This window comes from Homo sapiens, chromosome 20, assembly GCF_000001405.40.
Source record: "Homo sapiens chromosome 20, GRCh38.p14 Primary Assembly".
In the NCBI taxonomy this organism is placed as follows: Eukaryota; Metazoa; Chordata; class Mammalia; order Primates; family Hominidae; genus Homo; species Homo sapiens.
In genome coordinates, this window is record NC_000020.11 from 23,789,432 (window position 1) to 23,809,246 (window position 19,815).

The 19,815-nt window shown below is 40.9% G+C and overlaps 1 long non-coding RNA gene across 1 annotated transcript, besides 1 other annotated feature; it reads left to right on the plus strand.

Moving 5' to 3' along the window:
• Window positions 9,880-10,049: a silencer, noted in NCBI's record as "silent region_12735". NCBI's record gives its function as "represses an Ori minimal core promoter by ATAC-STARR-seq in GM12878 lymphoblastoid cells {active_cell/tissue: GM12878}" and the evidence as "EXISTENCE:reporter gene assay evidence [ECO:0000049][PMID:35858748]".
• LOC107985432 (uncharacterized) lies at window positions 14,284-16,540 on the plus strand. The gene is made up of 3 exons (XR_001754554.3): window positions 14,284-14,405; window positions 15,092-15,213; window positions 15,803-16,540. It is a non-coding gene; the product is annotated as an uncharacterized LOC107985432 (long non-coding RNA).
• The last annotated feature ends 3,275 nt before the right edge of the window (window positions 16,541-19,815 follow it).

The following is a 19,815-nucleotide window of genomic DNA, read 5'->3' on the forward strand; positions in this document are numbered from 1 at the left end:
ATCCAAAACCCCATCTGTATGTCACCATCATCAAAGACCAAAGGTAGATAAAACCACAAAGATGCAGAAAAAGCAGAGCAGAAAAACTGAATATTCTAAAAATCAGAGCACCTCTCCTCCTCCAAAGGAACGCAGCTCCTCACCAGCAATGGAACAAAGCTGGACAGAGAATCACTTTGACTAGTTGAAAGAAGAAGCCTTCAGATGATCAAACTACTCTGAGCTAAAGGAGGAAGTTTGAACCCATGACAAAGAAGTTAAAAACCTTGAAAAAAGATGAGACAAATGGCTAACTAGAATAACCAATGCAGAGAAGTCCTTAAAGGACCTGATGGAGCTGAAAACCATGGCATGAGAACTACATGACGAATGCACAAGGCTCAGAAGCCAATTAGATCAACTGGAAGAAAGGGTATCAGTGATGGAAGATCAAATGAATGAAATGAAGTGAGAAGAGAAGTTTAGAGAAAAAAGAATAACAAGAAATCAACAAAGCCTCCAAGAAATATGGGACTGTGTGAAAAGACCAAATCTACATCTGATTGGTGTTCCTGAAAGTGACGGGGAGAATGGAACCAAGATGGAAAGCACTCTGCAGGATATTATCCAAGTGAACTTCCCCAATCTAGCAAGGCGGGCCAACATTCAAATTCAGGAAATACAGAGAACACCACAAAGATACTCCTCGAGAACAGCAACTCCAAGACACATAATTGTCAGATTCACCAATGTTGAAATGAAGGAAAAAATTTTAAGGGCAGCCAGAAAGAAAGGTCGGGTTACCCACAAAGGGAAGCCCATCAGACTAACAGCTGATCTCTCGGCAAAAACTCTACAAGCCAGAAGAGAGTGGGGGCCAATATTCAACATTCTTAAAGAAAAGAATTTTCAACCCAGAATTTCATATCCAGCCAAACTAAGCTTCATAAGTGAAGGAGAAATAAAATCCTTTACAGACAAGCAAATGCTGAGAGATTTTGTCACCACCAGGCCTGCCCTAAAAGAGCTCCTGAAAGAAGCGCTAAACATGGAAAGGAACAACCAGTACCAGCCACTGCAAAAACATGCCAAATTGTAAAGACCGTCAAGGCTAGGAAGAAACTGTGTCAACTAATGAGCAAAATAACCAGCTAACATCATAATGACAGGATCAAATTCACACATAACAATGTTAACCTTAAATGTAAATGGGCTAAATGCTCCAATTAAAAGACACAGACTGGCAAATTGGATAAAGAGTCAAGATCCATCAGTGTGCTGCATTCAGGAAACCCATCTCATGTGCAGAGATACACATAGGCTCAAAATAAAGGGATGGAGGAAGATCTACCAAGCAAATGGAAAACAAAAAAAGGTAGGGGTTGCAATCCTAGTCTCTGATAAAACAGGCTTTAAACCAACAACGATCAAAAGAGACAAAGAAGGCCATTACATAATGGTAAAGGGATCAATTCAACAAGAAGAGCTAACTATCCTAAATATATATGCACCCAATACTGGAGCACCCAGATTCATAAAGCAAGTCCTTACAGACCTAGAAAGAGACTTAGACTCCCACACAATAAGAATGGGAGACTTTAACACCCCACTGTCAACATTAGACACATCAACAAGACAGAAAGTTACCAAGGATACCCAGGAATTGAACTCAGCTCTGCACCAAGTGGACCTAATAGACATCTACAGAACTCTCCACCTCAAATCAACAGATTATACATTCTTTTCAGCACCACACCACACCTATTCCAAAATTGACCACATAGTTGGAAGTAAAGCACTCCTCAGCAAATGTAAAAGAACAGAAATTATAACAAACTATCTCTCAGACCATAGTGCAATCAAACTAGAACTCAGGATTAAGAAACTCACTCAAAACTGCTCAAGTACATGGAAACTGAACAACCTGTTCCTTAATGACTACTGGGTAGATAACAAAATGAAGGCAGAAATAAAGATGTTCTTTGAAACCAATGAGAACAAAGACACAACATAACAGAATCTCTGGGACACATTCAAAGCAGTGTGTAGAGGGAAATTTATAGCACTAAATGTCCACAAGAGAAAGCAGGAAAGATCTAAAATTGACACCCTAACATCACAATTAAAAGAACTAGAGAAGCAAGAGCAAACACATTAAAAAGTTAGCACAAGGCAAGAAATAACTGAGATCAGAGCACAACTGAAGGAAATAGAGACACAAAAAACCCTTCAAAAAATCAATGAATCCAGGAGCTGGTTTTTTGAAAAGATCAACAAAATTGATAGACCACTAGCAAGACTAATAAAGAAGAAAAGAGAGAAAAATCAAATAGACCCAATGAAAAATGATAAAGGGGATATCACCACTGATCCCACAGAAATACAAACTACCATCAGAGAATACTATAAGCACCTCTATGCAAATAAACTAGAAAATCTGGAAGGAATGGATAAATTCTTCGACACATACACTCTCCCAAGACTAAACTAGGAAGAAGTTGAATCTCTGAATAGACCAATAACAGGCTCTGAAATTGAGGCAATAATTAATAGCTTACCAACCAAAAAAAGTCCAGGATCAGTTTCTTCTCATAAGTGCAAGAGACAATGGTCCTTCTTCTTCCTTTGAGTTTGGTGTGGTCATGACTTGCTGTGGTCACGAAGAAGTGAGATGTCTAGTCATCATGCTAGTTCTTGCCTCAAAACCATGTGCTTTTGTTTTTTTTTTCATTGTGATATTCTTTTATAGGTCCTGTGAGATTTATGCTTTAAGGAGATTCTATTTTGTATATTTTGAGGATGTGTTTCAAGATTTAGAGCTCCTTTTAGCCGTTCTCATAGTGCTGGCCTGGTAGTGGCAAATTCTCTCAACACTTGTCTGAAAAAGACTCTATCTTTCCTTCATTTATAAAGCTTAGTTTCACTAGATACAAAATTCTGGGCTGATTTTTGTTGTCGTTGTTTAAAGAGGCTAAAGAAAATACCCTAATCCTTTCCAGCTTGTAAGTTTTCTGCTGAGAAATCTGCTGTTAATCTGATAGGTTTTCCTTTATAGGTGACCTGATGATTTGCCTCACATCTCTTAACATTCTTTTCTTCACCTTGAATTTAGTTAACCTGATAATTATGTGCCTAGGTGATGATCTTTATGCAATGAATTTCCCAAGGGTTCTATCAGCTTTTTGTATTTGTATGTCTAGATCTCTAGCAAGGCCAAAGAAGATTTCCATGATCATTCCCTCAAATATGTTTTTCAAACTTTTAGATTTCTCTTCTTCCTCAGGAACAGCAATTATTCTTAGGTTTGGCCATTTAATGCAATCCCAAACTTGTGAGAGGCTTTGTTTATTTTTAAATTCTATTTTCTTCATCTTTATTGGACTGAGTTAATTTGAAAACTTTGTCTTTGAGCTCAGAAGTTCTTTCTTCTACTCGTTTGAGTCTATTGCTGAGATTTTCCAGTGGATTTTGCATTTCTCTAAGTGTGTCCTTGATTTCCAAAAGTTGTGATTATATTTTGTTTATTCCATCTATTTTCACTACAGATTTTTCAATTCATGTGCTGCATCTTTTTTAAAAATTTCTTTAAATTGGACTTCACCATTCTCTGGTGCCACCTTGGTGGGTTTAATAATTGACCTTCTGAATTCCTTTTCTGGCAATTCAGAGATTTCATCTTGGTTTGGATCCATGGCTGGTGAGCTGATGTAATTTTTTGGGGTGTTAACTAACCTGAATTTCTCATACTACCAGAATTGTTTTTTTGGTTTCCTTCACACTTGGGTAAGCTGTGTCAGAGGGAAGATCTGGAACTCAATGGCTGCTCAAGGGCTGACACCAACAAGCTATTCCAGTCATGCTCTACCAGCTGCACATTGGCTGGGGGTCAGGGGGTCTGGTGCTGGCTTGGCTTGTGTCTTCATGCTGGGGCCCATGCTGAAGGGGTGGTGCCCGTCTGGGCCAAGTTCTTCTCATGGAGGCTCAGAGAAGAGCAGGAGGACCAGCTTCTCACACATGCCAGTTAAGGGCTCTGTGCTTGTCCCATGTGTTAACATCCTATGGGCCAAGCAAGACCCATGACCATGCACAACGGCAATGGGGGTCTACTCTGCATTTCCTGGACAGAGGCGCTGCTAGCTGCCTGGCAGAGGGCATGGATGTATACTTTAGTTCCAGTGAGGGAGCCAGCTGTCCATCCATCCTGCCACACCCCCGTGAATCTTGGAAAAACACTGCTGTGACATGGCACATATGTGCCCAGGAAGCTGGTGGATTTCGTGCTGGCAGTGATTGGCTGAACTCCCGCTATCAAGGCTGACTTTTCTCTGTCTCCTTTGTCCCCTCCTGGGATGTCTGGGAAGTGTTGGCTTCTAAGGAGTCCTCCAAGTGCGGACAGCTCCCTTTTCAGGCCCTCTTTTTCTTCTCTATAAAAATGAGCAGGTCAAAGGCCATGGCTTCAGAGAGTCCTTTTTAGGCCTATAATTTGTGATCCATTGATTACTGTGTTACTCCAGATGAAGAATTTACCCCCTCCGACCTCCATTCCCAACTCTACCTATTGCTGCCAATGTGGTACCAGACTCACAGGCCCATGCTGGTGGGGGTGTGCATGTGGGAGAGGGGGCTTATGGTGAAAACCCAGGAGGAAACAGAAGAAGGCGGCTGTGAAACAGTAGTGACCCCCCTGTGTTGCAGAGGGAGGTGCAGGTACAGTGAGTGGTGGGGAACATGGCTGTCCCTTGTGAGGCAACACGTCTGGTGGAAGCAGAGGGCGCTTCTTCCTCAACCTCTGCCCATGCATTCTCTCCAGTGCGCCAGTCCCTGCCGTCTCACACCCTGTTTCTCTGCTCCAAGGAACAGTACAGTGTTCCAACAAGCTGAGCACACAGGCCTGTGCATGATGGGTGGGGCTGCGGTGTCAATGCTGAGGCAGCACTTTACTGTATTTTTAATTTTTAATTTTTTATAAAAGATAAAAAGATGATGGAAGTACGTCAGGAGGACACAGGAAACAGCTTAAAGGGGCTCTCACTATTCAACTCTGAGATATTTTAAACATTCAAATAAGTGATAGTAACAGATTACAACTCATTGAATAAAATAAGAAACCATGAGTCTTCTAGATCTGTGGATAAATAGATGATTAACAGATAGAGAGATGGAAAGATAGATACAGATAAAGGAGAAAAGTTCTTCCTTGGAGTAAAAAGAATGCCATTAATAAATATAGAAAAAAGAAGCAATTTTATTTTTCTATATTCATTAGAAAAGAAGTAATAAACCTTTTTTTATTGTAGTTTTGAAGTGACTTCAAACTTACAAAAAGCAGCAAGAGTAATATAAAGAGCTCCTGTACACACCCAGACCCTCCCACTCCTCACATTGTGTCTCGCGCGCTTTTCCCTCTTTCTATATGTGTACGCACTGTTACAGCTTTTCCCGAGCCATTTCAGAGCAAGTTGCAGGTGTGACTCCTTTTGTCCTTAGACATTCTCATGTGTGTCCCCTAAGGCCAAGGACATTCTCCAGCACAGCTTCAGTGCAGTGAGTGGAATCACAGCACTAGCATGGGTCCACATTGTCGTCTAATCTGTCGTCCATGCAATTCATCAACCGTGTGTCGTTGTCAGGCAGCTTCAGTCTCCTCTGATCTGAAACAGTTTCTCAGTCTTTCTTATCTTTGTGATCTTGTCATTTTTGAAGATAACTGGCGATTTCATAGAACGTCCTCAGCTGGGCTTTGTCAATGGATGAGATTCAGGCTATGCAGGTTTTCAGAGAACTGTAAATATGATCTTGTTTCTCCCAGTACCTCCTACCAGGAGGCCATAACAACGCTGTCCCACGGCTGATAGACACTAACTTTGATCTCTAGGTTCAGATGGTATCTGACAGCTATCTGCACAGTATGGTTTACTCTTCTCTCCTTTATAATTAAGAATTATTTCATGGAGCAATACTTTGAAACATTTATTTATGTCTTATAAAGTTTTCACTTTTGCTTTCTAGCTTTAGCATACAATAATAATTCCTGTTTGAATCAATTGTTATTATGATTGCTTTCAAATTGTATTCCTAACTGCATTTTAAAAAAATACTTATAAATGACATTCATTCTACTGCAAGGAAACACTTTTCCCTTTTACCTACCTATCCATATATCTGTTAGTCATATATCTTTCTATAGATCTATCTGACTCATGGTTTCTTATTTTACTCAGGGAGTTAGAATGTATTGTTCTTGCTTATTAGAATGTGAAAATTACATTAGATTAGGCTAGTGGGAGCCCCTTTAAGCTGCTTCCTGTGTCCTCTTAATATATTTCCATCATTATTTGAGCCTATCCTTACTTTCTGATAAAACAAGAAGTTCCGGATTTATATTTTACTTTCTCTGATCCAAGGTGAAAATCAGTGGTTGGAATCTGCAGTGAATGTAGAAAGCAATTCCCGCGTGCTCCCTGTACTCACCACTCCTGGAATGCCATGAGGCCTCAGTCAGTGGTTCTCAACCTGGGGCAATTTTGCTTCCCAGGGCACATTTGGTAATGTCTAGGGTGTCTTTGGTTGTTCCAATTTGTAAGGCAGGTGCTACCGGCATTTAGGGAGAGAGGACAGGGATGCTGATCAACATTCTGCAATGCACAGGACATTTCCAGAAAAAGAATTCCTAGGTCTCAAATGGCCACAGTGCAGAAGGTGAGGAACCTTGTTCTTGGCCTTGTCTGTTGGTCAGTGCTAAAAAAAACACACAAAAAAACTTACGCACGTGTAGATAGCTATTGTTCTATTACCTAGTTATGTATTAAAAACTCTGAGTTAATATCGACACCAAACCCAAAGCAATGAGATTCTTTCCAGTCCCCTCCTTTCTATAGTTGTGGCTCCTTTCTTGGACAATTATCAACTTTAATTCCATTATCATCAATATATTTACTTGCTTTCTGTGTACTAGAACTCACAGAAAGTGAAACATTATTCTAGATCAGTGTTTCCAAATTTATCTTCACATGGCACTCTCACGGTTGCTGATACGTGTTAGCCTTTCCCTGCAAAACACAAAGAACATGAGGAACAGAATCGACTAGGAAAGTTGGAAGAGAATTAATCAGATTCTTATCGCAAGTATTTTATGTTTTAATGAATATTCTAATGTGCATTGCTATCTCTGAATGGAGGCTTTTGTATACAGAATAATTTCAATGTATTTTTCGAGGAATCTTTGAAAATGTAATTAGGAGCATGTATTAACTCATAGCCACATTTGTGCTGTGTGCAACAGTTTGCAAACACTGTTTTAGATCTTTTGCACCCTGCAAGGAGTTTTTCTACATTTTTCCATGAACATAAAGAATTTCATGCTTTTGAGGAAATTCATTACTAAGAAATATTTATACAGCTGGTTTTCTCTGTAGTAGTACACTATTGCATGAGACTGTGTATGTGTGTTTGAGATTGTGTGTGTGCATGCACCTGAACAAGGCACCAATCCCTCAGGAGCCTGAGAGCTGCCCACTACGGGTCCCCTGATGGCTCACTCCATTCAGCAGCTCTTGTGTTCCCCTGGAAGCCCTCATTGCTGTTTTCTGAGGTCTCTGGGTTCCCACTGCAGCATTTGTTATCACTGTCGAGTTCAGCAGCACCATGGCATTTTCCTAGGGTAGCATCACATTGGAGATGCACTCACTTTACCTCCTGTGCTTCCTACCAGTGGGCTCAACCTACTCCAAGGCACCCTCTTCTAGTGAGAATCACAGGCTGAGAAGGAAAGAAGGGGGTGTCTATCAGCTGCCGTGCCATTGCCTCTCTGCCTCCTTTGTTCCATGCACATGGAACACTGTCTACTTGCTCAATGCTGTGGTCTCAGCCCTAGCACAGGACTCAGTAAGGAATTAGTTGAGTGAATGAAAGGATTCTCCAACAATCTTTATAAAATGTGTTTTCCACATTTTTCAGACAAGGAACCTGCAACAAAAAGTGTCAGACCCCACACTGTGATCTCATCACTGCTGAGCTCTGCCTGGAATCTTGGAACTCTCCAGCGATCTCCTCTCCTTAAGAGTGGATGTAGGATACCTGTACGCATTCCTTCAAAATAAGGTTATGGTGTGCCTGTTGTATGCTAGGAATTATCTTCTCATCAGAAAAAGAATCTCTCTATATTTTGGGAATATGTGAAGAACAAAATGATGATGTGTAAGAGATTCTTGCCAAATTGCTTGGCACAGAGAAGCCCTGGAGAAAGGGTGACAGTGTTGTTGGTGGGGTCTCTGCTGGCTGGGTTCCAGGACTCTTCTTCTGGGACACCCTGTGCTTCCTGCCACCCTCCGCAGGGTCATTTCTTATCCTTCCTCGTTTGCACTTTGATATTTCCTGCTAAGATTTCACTATTTTTCAAAAGATCCAAAAGTAATTAAAACTCTAGCCATTGAAATGGCAGTTCTAACAAGTCGTCTTAGAGTCATCACGGCCTCATGGGGGCTGCCAGCAAGCTATCCACATGGAATCATTTTATACACAGTGGGAAAGTCTCTGAAACATCCACAAAGGCATGTTCATCCAGTATGCACACTGAGTGTCCTCCACATTCCACAGATTGTGAGAAGCACAGACACATTACAGAGAATGAGATGGATACAATATTGCCTTCAACAAACTGGTGGCCAAGCCAAATTCTAACTGCAGAGAAGGATCAGGAAGGATCGATTTGAGGAAATAACATGTGAGCTAGACTTTTAAGGAGGCGAAAGAGCCAGCTGCAGAAAGCCAACAAGAGGGGTGTTTAATGCAAAGAAAATCATAAACCGATCCCTAGCTGGAAATGATCCTAACCTGTGGAAGCTCCTGAATTGAGTGAGGGACCGGCCGGCAGGAGAGGTAAGCAGACTGGGTTTGGTGGATGAGCAGATATCAATTCCTGCCACACCTTTCACACCGTGCTGAAGAATTTCTGTTTTACTCCAAGTGAAATGAGAAGCCTTTGAAAGGTTTTACCAGGACATGACAGTACACCTTTTGTATTGTTAGAAGGCTGGCGTGACCACAGGGAAGGAACAGGCTTCTAGTCGGTGAGAATGGGAGGGTGGAGAACAGTCAGGAGGACATTGCAGTTCCTCAGGAAGGAGAGGATAGTGGCCTGTGTCTGTGCAGTGGCTGGGAGGTGGAGCACAGGAGACTCAGGATGCCTATGAGAGGTGGCGGGGCAGGACTTGCTAAGGGCTGGGTAGAGGGCGCAGTGAGGAGGAAAGAACAGAATTCCAGCCCAGGCCTGAGTAAGTCACAGGTTGGTTACTCAGCCAAGGCAGAGGTGAGGATGAGCAGATTGTCAGGGCTGGCGCTTTGGAGAGGAATCCAGAGCTGTTCCCACAGAGGCTTGGGATGTCATGCATGTAGGAGTGTGGATCTCAAATGCTACTCCCTGGATCCAGCCTGGAGGTTCAGGTTTTACGAGCTTGCAGGGGAGGGAATCTCTCAATTTTGATCATGGACTTCATTTGGGGCAATGCCACGTGGTTTTCCATTATGAATTAATGATAGTCAATTTTAATCTTTGCCAACCATATTTGGAAAATCAACATTAGCAGTTCTTAATCTAAAAAAGCATGGATTACAGGAACCCAGAGTCTATAACCCATGGCTTGGAAGGTGTCTGAGAGGGATCCTGGGCTGTATCAGAGTTGGCAGGCAGGGTGGGTGGCTGATTTCTGAGAGACAGAGGGCATCTGACGGGAACTAAGGTGGGAAGAGGCTCACAGAGTGGCAATCATCCAACCTCACGATAAAGAAGAGGACAATATGTTGAAATGTGACATGTGACGATGAAGACATCATGAAGAGAATCTTGCAAGGCGGCAGAGAAACCAAAAGCTACAGGGCAATTCCTTTGCCCACAGCCACCTGACCTAAAAATCCTGCTGGGTTCATGAGTTTGCAGAGAACCTCTGTAAGGTGGGGCCTGCATCCTCCACTTCACCACACTGACCACCAGAGGGAAGCACTCACCCACTGATGTCCAGTCCCTCAGGTCCCTCTACTCCAGCTTCACCCTGGGGAGCAGGCTCTGCAGGTGGCCCTGGGGTCGACATAGGGTCTGCCTTGAAGGAAGAAGCTCTACAAACTAAACACTCCCTGAGTGCTGTATGGGTTCTGCAGAGGCCCCTCTGCTTGGCTCTGTCCTTGCTGCTCTGGGTTACCTGGGTGTGCAGGGTTTTATTGCTCAGAGCCATGGCCAGTAGATGGCATAGCCTCCTGTTCCTGCAGCTGTCCCCACAGCCCCTGCTGGACAGGCCCAGAATGGACCCTCTCAGAAGACAAGGACTCTCTCAGGGTGGGTGATGAACATGTGGACAACTCTGGGGACAAGTCTGGTTTCTTTCCTCTCTTTCACTCTTCCCCCTTCCGCTTATCTCCCTGTTCACTCTCTTCCTCCTCTCCCCATTTACTAAAGCTACCCATCTCCCATCTCCTTCTTGCTCATGGTCCCTTCTGGAGGTCAGAGGTATGAATGCCAGGGAAAATCTACTTTTGTTCCTGCGGTTAATAGGGACACGTGGCTGGGCGCGGTGGCTCACGCCTGTAATCCCAGCACTTTGGGAGGCCGAGGCGGGCGGATCACAAGGTCAGGAGATCGAGACCATCTTGGCTAACACGGTGAAACCCCGTCTCTACTAAAAATACAAAAAATTAGCCGGGCGCGGTGGCGGGCGCCTGTAGTCCCAGCTACTCAGGAGGCTGAGGCAGGAGAATGGCGTGAACCTGGGAGGCGGAGCTTGCAGTGAGCCGAGATTATGCCACTGCAATCCGGCCTGGGCTAAAGAGAGGGACTCCGTCTCAAAAAAAAAAAAAAAAAAAAAAAAAAAATAGGGACACGTGATCCATTTGTGACAGACACAGTTTTCCATCAAAGATGAGGAGTCTAAGGAGAAGATTTACCTGTGTACCGACCTGATAAATCTCTAGAGAGTAGAACTCTCTTACTGGTACCTGGTCAGGCCTGGTGCTTACATTCTGCTCCAAACAGATTCATCCTCTCTCATAAAACATAATATCACCACCATCTCCATCCAAGCCATCACCATTATCATCATGACAATCACCACTGTCCCATCACCATCACCGTTACCACCACTGTTGTAAACATCATCTCTAGTGTCACCATTATTATCTCCAACATCACCATCATCACTCTCAGTACCATCAGCACATTTATCCCCATTATCATCAACACCCCATCACCACTATTACTATCACTATCAACCACCATCACCATCATTATCAACACCATTGCCATTGCCATCAGTATTACTACTAACATCACCATCACCACTATCACCACAACCACCACCATTACCATCACCATCATCATCACTACCATCACCAACACCATTGCCATCACCATTACCACCACAATCACCATGGTAATCCTCATCAGTAACACCATCATCATCATGACTACCATTACCAATATCAACATGACCACCATAACCACCATCATCACCACATCACTGTCTTCATTACCATCATCACCATAATCACCGCCACTCTCACCACCATCATCACTATCATCAGCACCATCATCTCCGTTATCATCACCGCCAGCACCATTACTGCCACCACCATCACCATCCCCACTTTTGCCACATCATAACCACTATCACCACCATCACCAACATTATCACCACCATCATCACTACCATCACCATGCTATGACCATTATCACCAACATGACCACTACAATCCCCATCATCACCATCACTATCACCACCATTACTATCATCATCACCAGAATCACCACTGCTGCTATAGCATCATCATCAGCATCTTCACCACCATCACCATCTCCATCTCCACAATACTGTCATCATCACCATCATCATTTTCACTGTCACTGCCAGGTGTCAGCAGTTACTCTGCATTGGATATTGTGTTATGCCCTTTATCAACCTCTTGTGATTATACAGTCACTCTGATTCTATATTTTATACAGAAAAAGAAGGTGGTAATTGGCTTTGTAACATTATAACTGCCTTCTAGTCTCAGAACTAGTTTGAAATCAATAAAAAAGAAGACTTATTTTATTTTTCATCTCCCACATTGCTGGATGCTGTCTAGATAGGTCTGGTCTGGACATCCACAGTGAAGTCCTCACTAGTCCACTGGTCTCCACCCTTAGATTCCATTTCTCTGGTCCTCAAATGTTCTGAAAGCCATATCCCCTGCCACATGAGGTCCTGGAAACTTGCCCTCTGTGGCTGCCTTCCAGCTTTTCCCCATCACATAGCTTGGCCTTTAGAGAAGCTGGACTTCCTTGATGTGCTCAGACACATCCTGTCCAAGCTTATATGAATTTGCCCTTCTGGAAAGGGCACCTGTAGCTCCCCACCCACCCTAGATCTTTGCCTCTTCAAATATAACATGCTTCCAAAGTTCAGGTCTACACAAACCTTTTCTATAAATCCTTCTCTGATCCGTGTAGCCAGGTGTGAACCTTTTGATTTTGGTCTCCTACAGCACTTTTATGTTCACTGTAGGCATTTATCATCCTCCTCTCATGGTCTTTCTTACTTGTATGTCTATTTCTGTCCCCAACCATTCCCTGAGGTCTTGGAGAGCAAGGACTGAGTCTCCTTCCCCATGTGATGTGCCTTTCAGAGATCACTGACAGAATCACAAACCAAAACTAGCTAATAATAATGTCACCTTACAATGAACATAATTCAATAATTTATTATAGCATCACATAACTGCTTAGTAGTTACTATTACTGTCTCCATTTTACAGATGAAGAAATTGAACCACAGAGAGGCAAGTATTACAAAGTCACACAGCTTATAAGTGGAAGAACCAGGCTTTTAACCCATGCAGTCTGGTTTCATGCTTTTGGCATGAGGTTAGATGTCCCAGCAGTCCCCAGTCCTCAACACCTTTGGATACTTGGCAAATTCCATGGTGGGCCCAGTTTGATAGCCTTTGACCTGGAGCTCAGTGTTTGAAACCCCTGAAACTCCAGGGTCATCTCTCCTCATATGGAACTTGACACTTATTCACACCCATATGTCTTGGCCCAGACTCCCTGTTTTGGAATTCCCTTCCCCTATGTCACCTCATTGATTCCTTTTGTGATTCCACAGAAATTACATTCTCCATAAAGATGACTGTCAAGATTGGGCTACCCAGAGGGAGACCTTGTAACCAGAATTCAATTTCCTGTGGCTTATCTGGAAGGCAGTCCCAGGGTACACTCCTAGGACAGTGAGGAAATGAAATAGGAATGAGAAGGTGGTCAATACTATGAGTGTGAACTGTCAGGCTACTGCTATGCAGCTCATTTCTGCTGGGAACTTCTGGGAGATTGTGTTTAACATGTCAGCTGGTGTCAGTCCTTGGAGAATGTGTCAGGGAATTAGTTATCTTGCACTTACTTGGGCTATTTGTACAGGTAAATGGGTACAGATGCTGGCAATTGGAAGTTGGGCTGACAGGTGCTCAAGTAGAGAGGACCCAGCAATGTGGGGAGCTTGTCCTCCTCTCCCAGCCTCTCTGTGGGTTTGGTTCCCTTCTCTGTGCTCTCCAGTGCCCTGTTCTCTCCTCTGATTTCCACTTCCCTGTCTAGCAGACCTGACATTCATTGAGGGTGGGTGACTCGGATCTTCCTGTTTGATATCTCCAGCACCCAATCGAGCACCTACCACACATCACATGCTCAATGATACAGGAGGAGGACACAATTAGGCCCATTTTATGACAAGCCTGAAAATTTTCCATTAATCTTTCTTTAGCAACTTTAATTTACAGACAAATATTCTTGAATAATTAAAAGAGGAACATTTTATAAAAGTTGCAGGAACAAAAAGCAAATAGCTTTATGTCATTTAAAAAAAAATCACACAGAAAAGTTAAAATGTCTATAAAGGAAATGAGAGGCAAGGAAAATTGTAATCATTAGCTTGGAGGCCCAAAACTAAAACAAGGTAAAGGTGAAAATGAATCACAGGTACCATGAAGCTCATTCCCTTCCATGAAACAAGGAATTGGGTAAGAGAGGCAACCCGAAGCCACGTGCCAGCACCCAGACAGTTCCAAGTGGGTTCAGGGCAAAATAATCTTGGCATCTTGGTGAACTTGGTGGGTGAAAACACAAATGGTCATCAAGGTACTCTGCCTAGGTGATGCTTGACTGCCCAAAGATGGGTAAAATGTTTTCTGTGAACTTTAAGGCATTTTCAGGATACTGTATGTATATGTGTGTGTGTGTGTGTATATATATATATATATATATATATATACATTTTTTTCTTTTTTGAGATGGAGTCTCACTGTGTCCCCCAGGCTGCTGTGCAGTGGTGCAATCTCAGCTAAATACAACCTCCACCTCCTAGATTCAAGCAATTCTCCTGCCTCAGCCTCCCAAGTAGCTGGGAACACAGGTATGCGCTACCATGCCCGGCTAATTTTTGTATTTTTAGTAAAGACAGGGTTTCATTATGTTGGGCAGGCTGGTCTCGAACTCCTGACATCAAGTGATCGACCCGCCTTGGCCTCCCAAAGTGCTGGGATTGTAGGCATGAGCCATCTCCCCTGTCAGATGACTGTATTTTGTTATACTATTATTTGGTTTCAGGTCCACTATGTCCAAAATGTCTGGGGAAGTGGAGGTGGTGAGCAGGGAGAAACTGGGATCTGAGCTGTGCCATTGCTTGCGTGGTACCCTGGTGCTGTGGGCAGAAACACAGATATCTGCCTGGTGTGATTGGGTGGGCATTTGTGATAGTCTTTAGGGCTGTCCCTTGAGTGCTTCTGTGTCTTATGGGTACAAGACAGGATTGTCCCCTTCCTTTGAGTTTGTTGTAGTCATGACCTGCTTTGGTCAATATAATAGATGAATAAGTGACATCTGTTACTTCCAGTTGCACTTGGGGAAAGCTGGTGCTTATTGCCTTGGCCCCTGATACTGTTGTGAGGGTGTCTTCTCCATCATCTTGGGATCCAGAGTGAGCACAACATAGTTCAGCACCCCCGACACACATGCAGTGCATCTATACAAATAACAGTCACAATAATGGAATGGTATGTTGCTGTCTTAAGTCCCTCATACTTTTTTTTGTTACCACAGCATAACCCAGCTCATCCTGACTGATGCCACCATTTCCAGATAAGAGAAATGCGACTGAGAAAGATTAAGATATTTTCTTAAGATTGGACATTATGTTCCTACCCACTGTGCTTGCCTTATAGGTATGTGTTCTGGTTTTGACAATTAAGATATAGACAAAATGAGGGCAGAAACATTTGATTATTTACTCAGAGCAGGAGAAGGAGAAATAGAATTAATGTGAGAGGAAGAAGATATGTAAGGGGAAAAAATAATAAACTAGGAACCAAGCACATGCAATCTTTATAATTTCTTAGAATTTTCTTCCCTTTTGAAAGTTTGTTTTATTTTAAAAAAGGAAGGAAGATCTTCCATTAATTTTATAGGACATCTCATGCTTTTTGTAAAACAGAGTTTTATTCATTTTCCACTAAATGCAAATATTTATTGCCCATCTACTATACACTATACATTCACCTTTGTTCTGCATATTTCTCCTCCTTTTAAAAGGTATAGTATGTCAACATTCAGTTCATAGATTTATAGCCAAATGTTGTCTGTATACTTATTGGTTTCACTTTGATCTCCTATATCCAGAAAAAGAAAACAATCAAGAAGAGACTTCAATAACTAATTATAAGATAAACATTAAGGCTTCTGTGTACACTATACAGTTTGTTTTGAAATTATTTTTGTACTCATTCATTCATTTCTCTTAATTTTTTTTTCCAGTTGAAAGAGAGTTTATTTAAGCACAGAGATCAAGCAAGAGTGGAGCACAGGACACACTTTCAGGTTGCCTTGGGGACTGCTCTGTAGAACAAAAAATCAAACTCAAGATTTTAAGGAAAACAAGTACAAGTGAAGAGAAGGCATGATTACCAAAGTTGTTGATCTAATTCTCATTGATTTACAGAAATAACAGTGGCTAACGATCAGCTATACATTGTTGAATTATAGGATGTATGGCATTTAAAAATGTATTTATTTAAAACTAATTTTTTTTAGATTTTTGATGGATTTAGGGGTACAGGTGCAGTTGTGTTACATGGATATATTTTGTAGAGATGAAATCTGGGCTTTTATGTACAACTACCCAAATAAGATACATTGTACCCAATAGGCAGCATTTCACTTTCACCCTCATTCTATCCTCCCACTGTTTGGAGCCTCCAATGTCTATCATTCCACTCAGTAAGTCCATGTCCATGGTTTAGCACCCATGTATAAGTGGGAACATGCAGTTCTTGATTTTCTGTTTCTGAGTCATTTCACTAAGGGTAATGGCCTCCAGTTCCATACACATTGCTGCAAAAGTCATAATTTCATTCACTTTTATGGCTGAATAGTATTCCATGGTGTATATCTACCAGATTGTTTTATTCAATGAAGTGTTGATGGACACTTAGGTTGATTTCACAACTTTGCTATTCTGAACTGTGCTACAATAAACATACAAATGCAGAAGGCTTTTTTATATAATGATTTGTTTCCTTTTGGGGGGTACATGTGCGGTAGTGGAATTGCTGGATTGAAGGGTGGTTCTATTTTTAGTTTTCTAGAAATTATCATACTGTTTTCCATAGAGGTCATATGAGTTACACATCAACCGATACATATTTTCCAACATCTTGTTTTTTGACCATTTTTGAGACAGGGTCTCCCTCTGTTGCCCAGGCTGAAGTGCAGTGGCATGATCATAGGTCAGTGCAGTCCCAACCTCTTGGGCTCAAGGCGTCCTCCTGGCTCTGCCTCCTAAGTAGCAAGGACTACAGGCCCACACCACCACACGTGGAATTTTTTTTTTTTTTTTTTTTTTTTGCTTGTTGAGACAAGGTCTCACTATGTTGCCCAGGCTTATCTTGAATGCCTGGACTCAAGTGATCCACCCACCTCAGCCTCTCAAAATACTGTGATTACAAGCATGAGCCACTGCACTTGTCCGTTTTTTGACTGTTTAATAACAGCCATTGTGACTAGTATAAGATGGCATGGCATTGTGGCTTTAATTTTCATTTCTCTGATACTTAATTATGTTAAGTATTTTCATATGTTTGCCGTTTGTATGTCTTTTATTTAAAAATGTCTGTTCATACCCTGTGGCCACTTTTTAATGGGGTTATTCTTGTTTTTCTTGTTGAGTTGTTTAAGTTCCTTGTAGAGTCTGAATATTAGCTCTTTGTCAGATACACTGCTGGCAAATCTTTTCGCCCATTCTACAGTTTGTTTGTTTACTGAGAATTATTTCTTTTGCTGTGCAGAAGCTTTTTACTTTTATTAAGTCCCATTTCTCTGTTTTGGTTTTTGTTGTATTTTATTTTGAGGACTTCATCATAAATTCTTTGTCTAGACCAATATTTAGAAGAGTTTTTCCTAGGTTGTCTTCTAAGATTTTTATAGTTTCAGTTCTTACATTTAAGTCTTTAATCCACCTTGAGTTAATTTTTGTACATGATGGAAGGTAAGAGGCCAGTTTCATGAATCGACATATGGCACACCAATTATCCCAGCACCATTTATTGAATAGAATGTGATTTCCCTTTATATAATTTTGTCAACTTTGTCAGAGATCAGTTGGTTGTAGCTATGTGGCTATATTTTTCCGTATGTGTCTCTTTCTATAACATGACCATGCTGTTTTGGTTACTACAGCCATACAATATAATGTGATCTGTCCAATTTTATTCTCTTTGCTTAGCATTACTTTGGGCATTCAGGATCTTTTTTGGATCCGTGTGAATTTTACAATTTTTTTTTCTGATTCTATGAAGAATGACATTGGTAGTTTGATAGTAATTTAATTGAATCTGTAGATAACTTGGGCAGTATGATCATTTTAATGATATTGATTCCCCAGTCTATAAGCATGGGATTTTTAAAATTTTTTTGCCATCTATTATGTCTTTCTTTAGTGTTTCATAGTTCTCTTTCTAGAGATCTTTCACTCCTTGAGTAAATGTATTTCGAGGTATTTTATTACTTTTTGTAACTATTATGAATTGGATTGAGTTCTTGATTTGGTTCTCAGCTTGGACATTATTGTTATATAGAAATGCTACTGATTTTTGTACATTAATTTTGTATCCTGAAACTTTCATGAAGAAATTTATCAAATCGAAGAGCCTTTTGGGGGAATCTTTAGGGTTTTCTAGGTATAAGTTCATATCATAAAAAAAATACGAGAATTTGACTTCCTCTTTTAGAACTTTGATGTACTTTATTTCTTTCTTCTGCCTGATTGCTTCAGCTAGAACTTCCAGTAGTACGTTGAATAGGGGTCCTCGTAGTGGGTATCCTTGCCTTGTTCTTATTCTTAGGGAAAATGCTTTCAACTTTTCTTCATTCAGAATGATGTTGGCTTTGGGTTTGTCATATATGGCATTTACCGTTTTGAGGTATGCTCCTTCTATGCCTAATTGGTAAGGGTCTTTATTATGAAGAGATGCTGGATTTTGTTGAATGCCTTTTTCTGAATCTTTTGATATGATCACATGGTTTTGTTTTTAATTCTGTTTATATGGTGAATCCTATTTTTTGATTTGTGTATGTTGAATCAATCTTGCATCTCTGGAATAAAACCCACTCAATCTTGGTGTATTATGTCTTTGATATGCTGTTAGATTTTGTGTGGTAGCATTTTGTTAAGGATTTTTGCTTCTATGTTTATTAGAGATATTGGTTTGTAGCTTTTTTTTGTTGTTGTTTTTGGTTGTGTTCTTGTCTATCTTTGGTATCATTGCAATGCTGACTGCATAGAATAAATTAGAGAAGATTCCCTTTTTGGAACAGTTTCAGTAAGATTGGCAGCAGTTCTGTCTGGTACATCTGATAGTATCTGGGTTTGAACTCATCTGATCCTAGGCTTTTTTGTTGTTGGGATTTTTTTTCTTACTAATTCAATTTTATTACTTATTATTGGTCTGTTCAAAATTTCTATTTCTTCCTGGTTGAACCTTAGGGGGTTGTATATTTCCAGAAATCCATCTATTTCTTCTAGGTTCTCTCATTTGATCACATAGAGATGCTCAGAGTAGTCTTTGATAATCTTCTGTATTTCTGTTATATCAGTTGTAATGACACCTTTATCGCTTCTACTTGCACTTGTTTGAATCTTCTCTCATTTTTTGTTGGTTAATCTAGCTAGTGGTCTATTGATTTTGTTGATCTTTTCAAACAACCAACTTCACTTCATTGATTCTTTTTATTTTTGGTCTCAATTTCATTTAGTCCTTTTCTGATCTTTATTCTTTTACTAGCCTTGGGTGTGGTTTTTTTTTTCTTTTTTTCTCAAGTTTCTTGAGGTGTAACCTTAAGTTGCTTATTTGAAATCTCTCTATCTTTTTCATGTAGGCAGTTAATGTTATAAACTTCCCTCTTAGCACGATTTGGTTGTTTTTCAGACATTTTTGAAAGCTATATCTTTATTTTTATTCATTGACAATTTTTTTGATGTTGGTCTTAATTTCATCATTGACCCAACAGTGAGTCAGAAGCAGATCACTTAATTTTCATGTATTCATATAGTTTTGAGTATTCCTCTTAGTGTTGATCTGTATTTTTATTTCACTGTTGTTTTTAGAATGTACTTGATATGATTTCAATTTTTTTACATTTATTGAGATTTTCCTTGTGACCTAGCAAATGATAAATTTTTGAGAATGTTTCATGCATACATGAGAAGACTGTATATTCTGAGGTTGTAGGGTAGAATATTTTGTAAATATCTGTTAGGTCCATTTGCTCTA